Source organism: Homo sapiens, chromosome 20 (assembly GCF_000001405.40).
Source record: "Homo sapiens chromosome 20, GRCh38.p14 Primary Assembly".
Lineage (NCBI taxonomy): Eukaryota > Metazoa > Chordata > Mammalia > Primates > Hominidae > Homo > Homo sapiens.
The window spans coordinates 57,237,343-57,254,719 of record NC_000020.11 but is presented as its reverse complement, the minus strand read 5'-3'; the positions used below and the strand labels follow the sequence as shown (position 1 = coordinate 57,254,719).

Sequence of the window (17,377 nt, the reverse complement as noted above, 5' to 3'; positions counted from 1 at the left end):
GGGAGGGGATATGGAATAGTCGCCCCAGCGCAGGGACTTCTTTTTGTTTTTGTTTTTTGTTTTTTTTTTTTTACTGTATCAATGTAGACTGGAAACAATGTCAGAAGGAGAAAGCAAGTAGCAGAAGGATGTTTAGGATGTAACCATTTGTTAATTACACACATAGGCACCCCCGCCCCCAACCTCCCACACAAGGGGACCAACTCATAAATGTATTGTTTGTGGGTTCATACACATTGCAGTAATACCATGGACACATGGGCAGGAAGGACTCCCTACCTTCAGGGTGAGAGCTGCCCGTGGGGAGGAGGGAAAGGATAGTTTTGATGAGAGTTTCAAATAAATCTCACCTATTTCTGTCAAGTTTTCTGTCTTTTAATAAGAAGAAACCAAAAGAGGCTGGGCGCGGTGGCTCACGCCTGTAATCCCAGCACTTTGGGAGGCTGAGGTGGGTGGGTCATCTGAGGTCAGGAGTTCGAGACCAGCCTGGCCAACATGGTGAAACCCCGTTTCTACTAAAAATACAAAAATTAGTGGGGTGTGGTGGTACACACCTTTAGTCCCAGCTACTTGGGAGGCTGAGGCAAGAGAATCGCTTGAACCCGGGAGGCAGAGGTTGCAGTAAGCCGAGATCACATCACTGCACTCCAGCCTGGGTGACAGAGCAACTCTGTCTCAAAAAAAAAAAAAAAAAAAAAAAAAGGAAAGAAACCAAAAGAAAATACAATGTGGTATCCTGGACTGGATCTTAGGCCAGAACAAGGACATCTGTGGAAACACTGGTACAGTCTGAAACAAATCTGGAGTCGAGTTGACAGTTACACAGCAATGTGAACGTCTCGGTTTTGTCAAATGCCCTGTGGTTGTGGAAGATGTTCACCCTGGGAGGACTGGGTGAAGGGTACTCAAGTATTCTCTGTACTAGCTTTGCAATGTTCTTATAAAGTTATTCTAAAATAAAAAGTTTATTTATTTTTTTTAAAGGAAGCAACTATGATGCTACCTCTCATCATTTCTCTGTTATGGGTGCATGGATGTCCATGAGCTCATCCACCAGCTGCTCTTTGTGGTGGTCCTGCCATTTCCAAGGCTGGGGGCAGGAGAGCCAGTCCTAGAGCCTGTTCAGTATGATGCCCTGAAGGCCAATAACGAATCAATCTACGGACCCATTAACACGACAGGGACTCAGCAAGTAAAAGAAAAACCCACAGGACAGTGCCCTGAGAACTTTAAAACTCTCTTTTCCTCATTCATAAGGTGCCCGATATAAAGCAGCTGTTAGTTTATGGTCAAGAAAGAGGGGGTAGGGTGGGAGGAGATCTAAAAGATCTTTCGATTTTCTTCTTGGTCCTGAATTTTGTAAAATGCCCCCTACTCCATTCCCCAATCTTCCCACTTCTCAAGTTTCAGTTTTTGACTGACTTGACCTAACATTTCTTGAGAGAGAAGCCCTTAAAAATGGCAGCAGGGCCTCAGAACCTTCCAGGCTAGTAAATGTTTATGGGATGGAGGCACTGGTTGGTCATTTCCTTTAGGAGGAAACAATAAATGAAGCTACTTGCCTTATGCCTACTCAGGCCCTGAGCTCCTAATTATCTTAATATACTGGTGGGAAGTGGGGATGGAAGGGGGTGGGGGACCCAGAAATCTCTGCGCCTCTGGAGCTTGGAAGTGCCCTTTTTAGTACGTTTAGTGTGCAGTTTCTCAGCCTGGGCACTATTGGTATGTTTAACCAGATCGTTCTCTGCTGGGAGCTGTCCTGTGTATTATAGGATGTTTGGCAGCATTCCTAGCCCTTCCCCCAGGATCTGACAACCAAGTGTATCTCCAGACATTGCTAACTGTACCCTGGGGGGCAAAGTTGCCCCCAGTTGAGAACCACTGGTTTAGAGTAACTTGCCTCAACCTTGGGAATTCATCTGGGAGCCTTAGCCTCAAACGCACTGACCCACAGTGGTGAGTGGGAAAAACAGCATTTCTAGATGGACGGGTTATTTTCTGGCTGAAAGAAGCACAGATTGCAATCAAAACTCGAGGCTTCTCCTGGGAACACAGCTCTACCTGGCTTTGAAACACCCTGGAGACTGAAATGGAGCTCAAGTCTCTAACGAGCAAGCATTGTCTCCTGGGAACCAAAATACTTGACTGCACCTTTTGCTCGATGATGCTAAAAGTTTATTAAACACACATCGAGGACTGGCCCCTCTTTTATTTTTATCTTCGGACGTTCCTCAGGAAGAATAGGGCAGATCTCTCTCTTACCTTGTTCCCCTCTCTTGGCAGGTAACTTACTCTGGGGTGGGAGAGGGAAGGTGAGCACAGAAGCTATATTTTCCCGTGTCTCCCTGTAGCTTAAATGCTGCTTGGAGCAGGGAGACCTGCTTGCTTCAGACCCCAGCCCGCGGGCCAACTCCAGCCCACAACCTGTTTTAGTACAGCCTGCAGGCTAAGAATGGCTGGTACATTTTTTAAAAGTGTGATAAATACTCGAGAAGAATCATATTTCATGACACTAAAATGACATGAAATTCAAATTTCAAGGTCTGTAAATAAAGTTTTATTGGAACACATCTATCCACTTACGCATTCACTCTGACTGCTTTACTGCCGCTGCGACAGGGTTGAGCAGTTGCCACAGACACGATGGTGACCGAGGCCTACAATAGTTTCTGTCTGGCTCTTCATGGGGTTTATTGATCCCTGCTTTCCACACGCTATGTCCCCTACCTGGGAAAGTGCAAAAAGTAAAAAAGCCTGAGTTTTGTTTTGTTTTGCTTTGTTTTTTTGAGACAGAGCCTTGCTCTGTCACCCAGGCTGGAGTGCGGTGGCGCGATCCCGGCTCACTGCAACCTCTGCCTCCCGGGTTCAAGCAATTCTCCTGCCTCAGCCTCCCGAGTAGCTGGGATTACAGGCGTGCATCACCACGCCCAGATAATTTTTGTATTTTTAGTGGAGACAGGGTTTCAACATGTTGGCCAGGCTGGACTCAAAGTCCTGACCTCAAGGGATCTGCCTGCCTCGGCCTCCCAAAGTACTGGGATTACAGGCGTGAGCCACTGTGCCCGGCCAAAAGCCTGAGTTTTTTATCTGTCCCTTTTGTCCTTCTGCAGACAGTGACTCAGCCACACTTCCTGCCCCCCCTCCATGTTCACTGGAGCTCCTCTGAGTCTGCGAAAGCTGTAGGTTAAAGGATGTCCCCTCGGAAGACTCCTCTGCATCTTTAACATGAGGCATGTGCTCTGAGTCCCCACAAGGGTGATGTCGAACACAGGGAGGCTTTTCCTGCGTTTGCTTGGTCCCAGCACCCTGTTCTCCTGTGTTTTTGAAAAAATTCTAAAATGTCTCAGATGGTAGTTAAGAGTTTGGGTCTGAGTCAGACCGTCAGACTGCAGAGCCCCCACCGCTCTGCCCCCACCTCCCCGACTCAGGCAGGTTGTTAAACCCTGGGTCTCCTGTTTCCTACTCTGGGGTTAATGTGGGTGCCTGTCTCCTGGGCTGCTGTGAAGATCCCATGTGGGGAGACAGGAAGAGGGCTGACCTCGGGCCGCCTGCAGCTGGTGCCTGGGGATGTCAGTGGTAGGCAGTGATGCTGTCATTTGCTACACCATAGCCAATCAGGAACCCACCGTGCACGGGACCTGCCTGTGCCCTGAGCTCAGCTGCTCTGTTACCCACCGTGGTGGGATGTGCTGCTGGTTTGTGCTGGGGTCCAGAGCAGGCAGTGGGCACGGTGGCCCCCAAGCCGTGTCTCCACAGGACTTGGATCAGGGCAGCTGGCCTTCTCTTTGCGATGATACCTCAGCTGAAATGGGAGGCTTGTCGGTGTCGACTGGACACAGGCAAAACAGGAAACTGGGTGTATTTTGACGAATCCTGTTATACTAGAAAATTGCCTCCTGCTGATTAAGATCTGTGTTTATTGGTGCAGAGTTTTAAGGAGACACCCAGATCTGCCCACCCTTGCCGGCTGGGGGCACAGGCAACCTGCTGGGTTTAGACAGTTGACTGTGGGCTGGCCTACTCCAAAAAAAGCACATCAATAAAACTTTCACAGTAAAGTTATATATTTTTCTTTTATTTCTTTGAACACCATTCATGTCAGACTTAGTGGGGTGGCATTTCTGTGTTTCCCTCACTTTTTGATATGGGCAAATGAATTTCTCCTTTTTTTTTTTTTTTTTGAGTCAGAGTCAGGGTGACAGGTTCTGTCATCCAGGCTGGAGTGTAGTGGTACCATCTTGGCTCACTGCAGCCTCTACCACCTGGGCTCAAGTGACCCTCCCACCTCAGCCTCCTGAGCAGCTGGAACTACAGGCATGTATCACCATGCCTGGCTAATTTTTTGTGTGTGTATATATATCTATATTTAATATAGATATATATTATATATTATATAAATATATTTATATTAAAATAATATATTTAATAAAAATATACTCTATATATATTTTTGTAGAAATTGGGTTTCACCATGTTGCCTAGACTGGTCTTGAACTCCTGGGCTCAAGCAGTCCTCCTGCCTCAGCCTCCCAAAGTGCTGGGATTATAGGTGTGAGTTACTGCACCTGGCCCATTTCTTCATTTTAAGTGAGGACCAGCCCATGCCAGATGTTCATTAAATAGCATGATTTCAACATTTATTTTTATGTATGTGAAAATAGGGTCAGGAATGACAAATTACTCGCCGAGCTTTGGGGATGGCAAGTCTGTCTGTCTTTGGGTCCAGGTCACTGGTGTGTGTCCTCAGGCAAGTTACTGAAGGGGTTGGAGTGCTCTGGGCCTCAGTTTCCCTCTCTGGTGGGTGGCTCAAGGCTCAGGACACTAGGATTGAGTGAGATCATGGCAGGAAGGGGCTCAGTCCTCACCTGCAGGGAACTCTCAGTAAACAGGGCTGCTCCTGGCTGCCTTGGGGGTCCAGTCTCGCTGCAGAGCCTCTTCTAGGCTCATCCGTGAACATGACAGTAGACCAATATCAATGGAGAACATGACAATGGCCTGATGATGTTTTAGTTCAGCAGCTGTAATTCATTGGAGATGCCTGGAAGTTTGTGACTAAATACAGCCCTCATATCCAAGACTATACACTTCCCTGAGTACCTTCACATTTCAAACATTATATGTATCTTATTTACTCAACTCCCATCATAGATTTTGAAAAGAATCCGGGACATTTGAAAAAGTGCGATGCAGTCACCCCTGCATCAGGGGTAGGCTAAAGACAGCAGGTAGGACAGACATTGGGTAGAGTGGGAATTACCTTTGAATTTCCATGGGAAGCTGTTTCGTTATGCAGTATCTCCATATGGCTGAGTTCCTTCTCCCAGTTTCTCTCCCAGTGTTGCAGCAGATCACTGCTTCTTCCGTTGCACATGGGATGAAATAATCTGCTTGAGTGTAGGACCTGTATCATACCAAAACACTTGCCTTCAAACACTAGAAGGTAAGAAGTTTGGTATGATACAGGTCCTACACTTAAGGACCCTCTGGGTGTTATACTTACACTTAAGGACCTATAACACCCTCTGGGACAGCAGATACTATAAGAGATACACATCCTAATGGCCACTACCTGCTTCTGTGGAGAGGAATGGTGTTTCATTTAGAACTCGTTCAGCAGTCAGCCGGGCGTGGTGGCTCATGCCTGTAATCCTAGCACTTTGGGAGGCCGAGGCGGGCAGATCATGACATCAGGAGATCAAGACCATGCTAGCTAACACGGTGAAACATCGTCTCTACTAAAAATACAAAAAAAAATTAGCTGGGCGTGGTGGTGGGCACCTGTAGTCCCAGCTACTCAGGAGGCTGAGGCAGGAGAATGGCGTGAACCCAGGAGGCGGAGCTTGCAGTGAGCCGAGATCACACCACTGCACTCCAGCCTGGGGGACAGAGTGAGACTCTGTCTCAAAAAAAACAAAACAAAACAAAACAAAACAAAAACAAAAAACTCATTCAGCTGCAGTTCACAGAACACCTGCCTAGCATGGCTTCAGCACAAAAACATGTCATTATCTCCCCTAATAGCAAGTCTTCAGGGAGATGAGTTCACGTTTGCAGGGGCAGCTCAGTGATACTGTCCAAGCATCCATGAGCTTCCCACCTCCCCCTACCACCATCCTCAAATTCCTCATGTCTCTTACCTCATGCTTACAAAATGGCTGCTGCCGCCCCAGCCAGTTCATCCTCATGCAATCTCACATTCAAGGCAGGAGGATGGGGAATGGCACAAAGAGCTCTCCTTGCCTGCCTGCCTACCTCTTGGTTTCCTAGAAGTTCCTTGGAAGACTTCTCCTTGTCTCTTGGGCTAAACTGTGTGTAAGCCCCTGTCTTGTTACTTCGAGGGAGGGTGTGAATGTATGCAGCTGGCATCTGGCCAGCACAGTGGGAGGCAGGGGAGGGAAAAGTGGGTTGGCAGTGGTTGTTGGGTGGCCACATTCAAATGATTGAAATGGTTTCTCTCTCCCTCTTTGTCGTTGTTTCCTGTGTTGTATACAGTTAGATTTACAAAAGTTATTTGTACATGTGATGTGGTTCCACTGTATGCACATATAAATAGAGGCCCTAAGCAAGCTTCCAAAGCCTCCAGATGATAGTGTTCCACTGTGAATATATACAGAAGGTTGGTTGCACATTGACATTAATTTAACCAGACCCTCTGTAGCTCATAGAAAGATTTTAGTTATTCTTTAAACTCAAACCTACCTACAGGTAGGTACATTAGCTCTAACTTTGAGGACTATATAGAACTCTAGCCAACAGCCAGTTGTTTGCTGAAAACAAGCTTTGTTTTATTAACATAACCCTCCTGATCTCCTGAGATAGGGGCAAAATTTCTTGAAAATGACCCGAGGAGGTCAGGAATTATTGTCCCCTGGGAGGAAGCAGAGGCTGGGGTGGAGCTTGGTTTGAGTTCTGCTTGTGGGACAGGCGGCTCCTGTTTCCCCTGAGTGGAGGATGAACAGAGCAAGAGACTCAAAGCATTTTAAGAATCTGTGTCAGTGTTTGTTAGCCAAGGGTGGAGAGCTGCTTGAAAGAAACGCCTGCCTGCCCTGGTGGAATGGTGGAACCTCATGCTTACACTGGGAGCCTGATCAAATGTTTTCTAGTAAAGGGTTCTGGGCACCTATATGCCTTCTGCTTATTCCCGTGGGAGACTAACGTGATAGGGTCTGGGTGCCTCCTTAAGCCCGTTGGTTGGAGGAGATGATTAGGGGAGAAGCTGAGAGGTGGTTCTGAAAAATATTTTGCTTTCTATTAAATGGCTGCTGAGCAAACGGAACTCTCTGTTCTCGTCCCCATTGTCTTGCCTTGAATGTGGTTTTGTGAAGACATGTTGCTTGGAACCACAGCAGCCATCTTGTGACTGTGGGACAAGAGGCCTAAGAATTAAGTCAACATGCAGACAATGATGGAGCAAAGAAGACAGAAGAAATTGGGGTTCTTAGTCATATGTTTGAACTACTACATTCAACTACAATTGTTGGGGGGAGGCTCTTAAGCAGTTTGAATCACATGTTCACTCATGAATCAGTTGGGTCTAGAGGGTAGACCAGGCTGCATCAACACAGTTGCTGGAGTCAGCCTCTGGCCCTTTGTGCCTGGGCTGGGGTGTGGAGGTGTGTCTACTATCTGATTACAGCTATGTTAGCCATTGTAATAATCATCCCAGTAGTGAACATTTGTCAAAGGCTTACTATGTGCCAAGCACCCTTTGTCCTCTTTTGGTTTTTTTTTGAGATGGAGTCTCGCTCTGTCACCCAGGCTGGAATGCAGTGGTACAATCTTGGCTCACTGCAACTTCTGCCTTCTGGGTTCAAGTGATTCTCCTGCCTCAGCCTCCTGAGTAGCTGGGAGTACAGGCACGTGCCACCATGCCCGGCTAATTTTTGTACTTTTAGTAGGGATGGAGTTTCACCGTGTTGACCAGGCTGGTCTTGAACTCCCAACCTCAGGTGATCCGCCCACCTCGGCCTCCCAAAGTGCTGGGATTACAGGCATGAGCCACCGCACCCAGCCTGTCCTCTTTAGTTAATATTAACATATTTAATTTTCATGACAGCCATTTCAGGTGGGGCAGTTATTATCACCCCTATTTTACAGAGCAGATAAATGAGCAGAGAGCGGTAGTTGGCCCAAGACCACATACCCAGTTAAGCATCATTGGATTTGGAGATCCAGTTCCTGGAGACTTCCCTCTTACACTTGATCCTGAACTGCTTCTCAAGCCTGAAGGATAGGTTTGGAGCAGGCCAGTCAACAGCATTGCTAATTGGAGAGTCTCACATGAGGGCAGGAGGAAGACACATAGGGGTTTTACAGTTATGTGTGTCAGGCCTAATGCCCTGTATCTTTGCTTATCAAAGTTTCTGAAAACCAGGATGTATTTAAATTGATTAAGATATTGGTATATTTTCCCAAAGAGCTTCTGTTGAATTGATTGTGCCTCTTAGTATGGTGACAAGCGTGTGTTGAGTAGACCTGGCAATGGGTAAAGCTAACAACACTTATTATGAATAAAACTGCTAATTGAGTTTTAATGAAACTGCTTATTGAGGTGTAACGTGTGCAGAACAGCACAGAAATCAAGAGCACTTGTGAGTGTTTACAAGGCAATCACACAGGGTAACCAGTGTGTAGATCAAGAAGCAGAAGCGACCAGAACCCCCTCGTACTTGTACCCAGCGGTAACTATTGTCCTGTTTTCTAATAGCATAAATTAACCTTGCCTGTTTCTAAACTTTATATAAATTTAATTGTACAATAATACTGTTAAATCACTAACCATGGCCGGGCATGCTGGCTGACGCCTGTAATCCCAGCACTTTGGGAGGCTGAGGCGGGCAGATCATGAGGTCAGGAGATCGAGACCATCCTGGCTAACACGGTGAAACCCCATCTCCACTAAAAATACAAAAAATCAGCTGGGCGTGGTGGCGGGCGCCTGTAATCGCAGATACTCGGGAGGCTGAGGCAGGAGAATGGCGTGAACCCAGGAGGCGGAGGTTGCAGTGAACCGAGATCACGCCACTGCACTCCAGCCTGGGTGACAGAGCAAGACTCTGTCTCAAAAAAAAAAAAAAAAAAAAATCACTAATCACAGGAGCAATGATTTGGAAAGAAGACCCCAAGTAGAACTTTTTGGAGTCTGTTTGCAACTCTTCCAGTTACATTTCATATAGGATACAAAATGTAATTTAAAAACCATTCTCTGGGCCCCGTAGGGTGCCTCATGCCTGTAATTCCAGCACTTTGGGAGGCTGAGGCAGGAGGATCACTTGAGCTCAGGAGTCCAAGGCTTCAGTGAGCTGTAATTACATCACTGCACTCCAGTTGGGAGTGACAGAGTGAGACCCTATCTCTATAAAAAATAAAAATTAAAAAAAAACACCACTTTTTTGTTTTGATCTCATATTCTCCTGCTTCCCACACCGGAAAGAGGTTTAAAGGACAACCATGCAATTTGAAGGGTGTTTTGATCGTTTAGCTTAGGGATTTAAGTTTGAGTTCTTACAATGTGAACTTGAAATGAGTGAGGCTCTTCAAGATTTCCAGTTCCCACCAAATCTGCCCCATCAGCCCCTGGGGCGGCTTTTGTACGTCTCTGCACCTTCCTGTTTTCAGAAATGAAGCTGATTACTGTGGTCCAGGGACAGAGTGTGGCTTTAAAGAAGACTCTTATTTTGAAAGGGAGACAGGGGCTGGGCATGGAGGAAAGGCAGAACCATCTTTTCCTTCACTGCACCTGCATCTCCTGGGCCTAATGAGTTTAGGCTGATGGAACCCAGGCCTCAGGAAGGATTATAAATTCTCATTTGATTTGATTTGCCTCTAAAATACCTTAAACCAGCTGTGTCTGCCCAGCTGACCCAAGCCTCTCTGGCTGCTCTGGGGGGAAGGTCTGAGCAGGCTCCTCCTGTCCTGGGGAAGGGAGGGAGGACGGCAGCTTCACTTCCCCCACCTGGCTGCTCTTGGGGCCTGCTCTGGCCTGGCTGGGAGCAGGCAAGGCACAGGTCTCTGCTGCCCTCCCTGGTGGCCAGCCTCCATGTCCTTGAATTCTCCCAACAGCCCCAGAACTGGGGGCCTCTGCCTGTCCCCATTTTATAGAGAGAAAAAGTTGAGCCTTCCAGAGGTGGGTTAACTTGTCCTGGGTCACTGCTGGTGATTGGCAGAGCCTGCGTGTGAACCAGACCTCCAGGCCCCATGGCCCACGCTCAACCCCAGTTCTCTCCTGCATCCTGGGCTGAGTAAGGCTAAGGAGCCGGTGTCTTCCTCCTGATTTGCTCACGGGGAGAGTTTCAAAACCCACTTCACTAAGTCTCCGGAGAAGCTGCTGAGTGCCCAGCAAGTGAGCGTGGGAGGTGGTGTGTGAACAGTGCTAAGCAACAGAGCAATCAGAGCGAATAGCTTCCAAGACTATTACATGTGCCAGGCACTCCATGGACACTCTCCTTTCCTCTGGTTCTCAAAGTGGGGTTTCTAGACCTGCATTATCACCATCACCTGGGCATGTGTTAGACATTCATGCTCTTGGGCCCACCCTAGATCACCCACCTTAGACATGCTGGAAGTGGGGCCCAGTGGCCTGTGCTGTAATAAGCTCGCGTGTGACTCTGGGCATCCTGAAGGTGGAGCATGCCTGGTCTACTTTACTCCTGGGCTTTAACTGGCAGCCCAGTGGAGTCAGTGCTATTACTACACCTGCATTTCACAGAAGAGGAGTGACGCGCCCCAGCAAGTGGCAGAGCCGAGACTCGCCCTCTCGCCCGGCTCTGCTCTGGAAACCTCCTGAGTCCTGCTCCTTTGCTCAGTTCTTACTTTCCTGGAGTTAAAATCTAGAAGAGAGGACAGTGGAGAAACAGGTCAGCAGGTCTCTCACCAAAATAATCCCAGTAGTTAGGCTATGGGAGGGAAATGAAAGGGGCTGAGAGGGAAGGAGGCCCAGGGAGAGTGTCAGTGGGGGTGAGACCAACTCAGCCGTGGGGAGGGGCTGCGGTGCCCGGGCAGGCCTGGAGCAAAGCCTCTGCGGTCGTGAACTTGGCACGTCTAACAATTACCAGCAGGATACCACTCGCCAGGTGCTTGGTGGGGAGTGTTTGCTCCCTAGGTGACCCCATGAGCAGAGTGAGGATCCTTGTACCTGTTCAACAGCCCCCATCCCAGGCCTCAAACCCGTAAGTCAGGAGTTAAATTCCTGAATTTCTCACACTGGGAACGCCATTTCATTAATTTTTTTAATTATTTTTTTTTTAGGGCAGAGTCTTGCTGTGTCACCCAGGAGTGCAGTGGTACGATCTCAGCTCACTGCAACCTCTGCCTCCTGGGTTCAAGCGATTCTTGTGCCTCAGCCTCCTGAGTAGCTGGGAGAACAGGAATGCACCACCACGCCTAGCTAATTTTTGTATTTTTAGTAGAGACAGGGTTTTGGCATATTAGCCAGGCTGGTCTCCCGGACTCAAGTGATACACCTGCCTCGACCTCCCAAAGTGCTGGGATTATGGGCGTGAGCCACCAATCCCACAGTTTTAAAGAAAAACTTTCTCCTACATCTCTGAGAACATAGTCGGGGACCCTCATTTGCAGTGGCCCCCTGCAAACCCTTGGTGCTACAAAGCAGTGTGGGCGACAGCACCTCTTCAATGATGGGGACACCTGTGATCTGGGCTGTCCACTAGGAAGGCCATGAGCCACATACAGCTGTTTAGATTTTATTTTATTTTTTGAGATGGAATTTTTGCTCTGTTGCCCAGGCTGGAGAGCAGTGGCACCATCTTGGCTCACTGCAACCTCCGCCTCCTGGGTTCAAGTGATTCTTGTGCCTCAGCCTCCCGAGTATCTGGGATTACAGGCACGTGCCACCATGCCTGGCTAATTTTTGTATTTTTAGTAGAGACGATGTTTCAGCATATTGGCCAGGCTGGTCTCAAACTCCTGACCTCAAGTGATCCACCCACCTTGCCCTCCCAAAGTGCTGGGATTACAGGCATGAGCCACTGTGCCTGGCAGCTGTTTACATTTAAATTAATTACAATGAAATACAATTAAACATTCAGATCTCAGTCACGGAAGCCACATTTCAAGTGCTCAGTAGCCCCACGTGTCTCAGTGTGCTTTACCAGACAGCACAGATAGAGCCTCCAAGCTGCCCCGAGGTGTTAGGGTGAACCCCATACAGGTCAAAACTGGTAGAGTATCAGCAGCTTTTTACATGGTACAGTCTAATAGGCGAGAAAAGGGACTTCAGAGAAATTCAGTCCTTTCCTTTGTTATGGGAGGAAACTGAGGCCCAGTGAGCCTGGGGTTATACCAGCCAGCTCACAGCTCAGATGAGGCCAAACCCCAGGTTTCTTGACCCTCTTGAGCTCTGCCTGTCTGTCGGTCCAGATCAAGGACTCTCAACTCAGCACTAGTCACATTTGGGGTTGGATGGGGGACCATCCTGAGCATTGTGAAATGTTTAGCGGTGTCCCTGGTCTGTACCCAGTACATGCCAGGAGCACCCCCTCCTAAGTTATGACAACCAAAAATGACTCCAGACAATGCCCAGGGTGCCTTCATGGGAGTGAGGGGAGGACAAAGTCAGCTCTGGCTGAGAATCACTGGTTCTTTTCCCTCAATTTCAATGAGCTGAGGATGGGGTTGGAACCCAGACATCCCTGGAGACTGCGTTCCTCCCTCTGGGAGGTGGGAAGCCGTAGGCCAGGGGGCTGTCTGGGTCTATAGTAGAAAGAGCAACATGTGCTTGCGGCCCATTTTTCTTTTCAGCTCTACGGGCATCTGGGTCTTTTTAGGCAAAGAACTGGCCTCAGCTCTAGAGATAATTAAACCCATCTTTTTTCCCTCTCCCTGCCCCATCCCCTAAACCCTTTGGTTCATTCAATTCACAATGATAACATTGTTCAAGCAACACTGCACACATGTTGACATTGAAGTGTTTAATCTTGTGGTACAATCATTCCCTCTGGCCCCTACCCCAACATCTGTGCAGGCTGCAGGCTCAGGGCTCATGACAAGAGGATGGCCAAGGAGATGCCTGCCTGTGGTCTCGCCTCCAGGTCTCATGTCTCTGGACGCAGCCCCCCAGCACCTAACAAGGAGGCAGTGTCTCCAAAGACCCTCTTGGAGAGCCAGGCGGGTAGGACTCCAGGTGGTATTGCTGGCAGCTGAAGCATTTGGTGGAAAGTTCGAGAGTTGAAGCAGTTCAGGAACAGGGGAGACAATGCTGCCTGTGTGCCCTTTGCCAGGCAGGGCCCTGCCCCCCAATCTGGGGGCCTGGGGAGGGGTAATGAGGAGATGGGTGAATGCTACAAAACCTTCAGGCTGTCAGCCTCCCTCCCTCAAGGACTGGCATTAGGCAGGAGCAAAATTTACAAGTCTGAGAGGGAGCTGAGTCGGATGCAGAACCTTCACTTTGAGTTTAGCTTTGGAGATTTATGTGGCGAGTGCATCGAGTGTGCCAAGAGCAGAGCATGGTTCAGCTCAGAGCTGTCCTTATTGAATCGTTGCCACAGCTAAGAGGTCACTGGCAGCTCCCATGTGAGGAAGAGAGTTGGTATGGCTGAGTGGGGAAGAGTACGGGCCTTTAAAGATTCAGATCAGCTGTGTGACCCTGGGCAAGAGTCAGTCTGAGCCTCAGTGTCCTCATCTGGAAAGTGAGCACGATGTGTCCCCCTGCCTCTGAGAGGGGTTTTCATAAGGATTCAGTGAGATGATATATACATGTGAAGTGGCAGCCAGGCCAGTGGGAGGGCTTCTAAAATGCTGGCTGCCCACCTCACAGCCATCAGGATGGTCACTGATATGGTTTGGCTGTGTCCCTACCAAATCTCAACTTGAATTGTATCTCCCAGAATTCCCACGTGTTGTGGGAGGCACCCAGGGGGAGGTAATTGAATCATGGAGTCCAGTCTTTCCCATGCTGTTTTGGTGATAATGACTAATTCTCACAAGATCTGATGGTTTGATCAGGGGTTTCCACTTTTGCATCTTCCTCATTTTCTCTTGCTGCTGTCATGTAAGAAGTGCCTTTCACCTCTTGCCATGATTCTGAGGCCTCTCCAGCCATGTGGAACTGTAAGTCCAATTAAACCTTTTTCTTCCCAGTCTCGGGTATGTCTTTTTCAGCAGCATGAAAATGGACTAATACATTAATTGGTACCAGTAAAGTGGGGCATTGCTGAGAAAATACCCAAAAATGTGGAAGTGACTTTGGAACTGGCTAACAGGTAGAGATTGGAACAGTTTGGAAGACTCAGAAGAAGATAGGAAAATGTGGAAAAGTTTGGAATTGCCCAGAGACTTGTTGAATGGCTTTGCCCAAAACGCTGATAGTGATATGGACAATAAAATCCAGGCTGAAGTGGTCTCAGATAGAGATAAGGAACTTGTTGGGAACTGGAGCAAAGGTGACTCTTGTTATGTTTTAGCAAAGAGCCTGACGGCATTTTTTCCCCACCCTAGAGATTTGTGGAACTTTGAATTTGAGAGAGCTGATTTAGGGTATCTGGTGGAAGAAATTTCTAAGCAGCAAAGCATTCAAGAGGTGCCTTGGGTGTGTTAAAGGCATTCACTTTTAAAAGGGAAACAAAGCATAAAAGTTCAGAAAATTTGCAGCCTGGCTATGCGATAGAAAAGAAGAATCCATTTTCTGGGGAGAAATTCAAGCTGGCTACAGAAATTTGCATAAGTAGCAAGAAGCCTAATGTTAATCCTCAAGACCATGGGGAGAATGTCTCCAGGCCATGTCAGAGACCTTCATGGCAGCCCCTCCCATCACAGGCCTGGAGGCCCAGGAGGAAAAAGTGGTTTCATGGGCCAGTCTCTGGGTCCCCCTGCTGTGTGCACCCTAGGGACTTGGTGGCCTGTGTCCCAGCCACTCAAGCCATGGCTGAAAGGGGTCAATGTACAGCTTGGGCTGTGATTTCAGAGGGTAGAAGCCCCAAGCCTTGGCAGCTTCCATGTGGTGTTGAGCCTGTGGGTGCACAGAAGTCAAGAATTGAGGTTTGGGAATCTGCACCTAGATTTCAGAAAATGTATGGAAATGCCTGGATGCCCAGGCAAAAGTTTGCTGCAGGAGTGGGTCCCTCATGGAGAACCTCCGCTAGGGCAGTGGGGAAGGGAAATGTGGAATTGGGACTCCCACACAGAGTCCCTAGTGGGGTGCAGCATAGTGGAGCTGTGAGAAGAGGGCCACTGTCCTCCAGACCCCAGAATGGTAGATCCAACAGCTTGAACCGTGTGCCTGGAAAAGCCATGGTCACTCAACGTTCAATGCCAGCCCATGAAAGCAGCTGGGAGGGAGGCCGTACCCTGCAAAGCCACAGGGGTGGAGCTGCCTAAGACCATGGGAAGCCACCTCTTGCATCAGTGTGGCCTGGATGTGAGACCTGGAGTCAAAGGAGATCATTTTGGAGCTTTAAAGTTTGAGAGCCCTGCTGAATTTCGAACTTGCATGGGCCCTGTAACCCCTTTATTTTGGCCAATTTCTCCCATTTGGAATGGCCGTATTTACCTGATACCTGTACCTCCATTGTATCTAGGAAGTAACTAGCTTGCTTTTGGTTTTAGAGGCTCATAGGCAGAAGGGACTTGCTTTGTCTCAGATGAGACTTTGGACTGTGGACTTTTGAGTTAATGCTGAAATGAGTTAAGAATTTGGGGGACTATTGGGAAGGCATAGGTGGCTTTGAAATGTGAGGATATGAGATTTGGAGGGGCCAGGGGTGAAATGGGTTTGGCTGTGTCCCCACCAAATCTCAACTTGAATTGTATCTCCCAGAATGCCCATGTGTTGTGGGAGGGACTCGGGGGAGGTAATTGAATCATGGGGGTAGGTCTTTCCTGTGCTATTCTCATGATAGTGAATCTCACAAGATCTGATGGGTTTATCAGGGGTTTCAGCTTTGCTTCTTCCCCATTTTCTCTTGCTGCTGCCATGTAAGAAGTGCCTTTTGCCTCCCGCCATGATTCTGAGGCCTCCCCAGCCATGTGGAGCTGCAAGTCCAATTTAACCTCTTTTTTTTTTTCCTGGTCTCGGGTATGTCTTTGTCAGCAGCATGAAAACAGACTAATACAGTCACCATCAAACAAAACAAAACAGAACAGAAAATCACAATGGTGGTGGACATGTGGAGAAATTGGAACCCTTCCCGACTGCCGGCGGGAAGGTAAAATGCTGTAGCCACTATGGAAAACAGAATGGTGCTTCCTCAAAAATATTGAAAATAGAGCTACAATGTGACACAGCGATTTCATTTCTGGGTATGTCCCTGAAAGATTTGAAAGCAGGATCTCCAAGAGATATTTGCACACCCATAGTCACAGCAGCATTACTCGCAATCACAAAAATGTGGAAGCTGCATACCATTCAGGGATGAATAAACAAAATGTGGCCCATCCATACAGTGGAATATTATTCAGCCTTAAAAAGGAAGGACATTCTGACAGGCTACAGCACGGATGAAACTTGAAGACATTTTGTTAAGTGAAATAAGCCGGTCACAAAAGGACAAATACTGTGTGATTCCATTTATAGGTGTTGCCCAAAGCAGTCAGATTCATAGAGACAGAAAGTAGAAGGGTGGGTGCCTGGAGCTGGAGGAGGGAGGAAGAAAGGGGAGTTAGTGTTTAATGGGGACAGAGTTTTGGCGTTGCAAGATGAAAAAAGTCCTGGAGACTGGATGTGCAAGAATGGTATCCCGTGTGTTTAAAATGACTGAACTGTACACGTAAAAGTGGTTAGGATGTTAAATTGTATATTCTGTGTATTTTACCACAATTAAAAATAAAAGTTTTAAAAAATGGTGGCTGTTTACCTGGCTTAGGTGTTCCATAGGTTGTCAGGGCTGCAATCTAAGTGAGCTTCTATGAACTACTCTTCTACAGTACAACTGACGGCTCTCACGTCCATGCTGGGGCAGCCAGAAAGTCCTTGTTGAATGAGTACAGTGGAGGTGTTATCTGAACAATGTGTATCATTGTCAACTTCTAGGCGATGTTCTGTTTCTCTGGGCATAGAGCATTCTCCTCCCTTCTCCCAAGAGCTGTGTGTGTCAGTGTGGCCTCTCCAGGCTGCTCATGTTATTAAGAGAACATTTTCCTGTTAGAGTAGTCAGGTATGTCTGTTCCACTTTCCAGAATTCCCAATTTATTGCATGCCTCTGGCGGCTTTTTCAAGCTCCTTAATCTTGCCATGTAAATCTTTGAATGAATGAATGAAGAGCCATCATCAAATTTCACATCCCTGAAACTGTGGGTCGTAAACTGCCTCCTAACAGCAGCCGGGATAAGTCAGCTCCAGTGAGTTCTGGTGTGTGCCAGAACCTTCCAGATGAGCTGTAGCCCTCCAGGGAAAGAGCGAGCCAGGGTTGGTAGTTTCAGAGTT

The 17,377-nt window shown here is 47.9% G+C and overlaps 1 protein-coding gene across 1 annotated transcript in view, besides 1 other annotated feature; it reads left to right on the top strand.

Moving 5' to 3' along the window:
• BMP7 (bone morphogenetic protein 7) overlaps positions 1–17,377 on the top strand; it is a 97,889-nt gene that overhangs the window by 11,922 nt on the left and 68,590 nt on the right. The window lies entirely within an intron of this gene.
• Positions 9,620–10,544: an enhancer, noted in NCBI's record as "H3K4me1 hESC enhancer chr20:55819232-55820156 (GRCh37/hg19 assembly coordinates)". NCBI's record gives its function as "activates a minimal SCP1, AML or CMV promoter by ChIP-STARR-seq in primed H9 embryonic stem cells {active_cell/tissue: H9 hESC(primed)}" and the evidence as "EXISTENCE:reporter gene assay evidence [ECO:0000049][PMID:30033119]".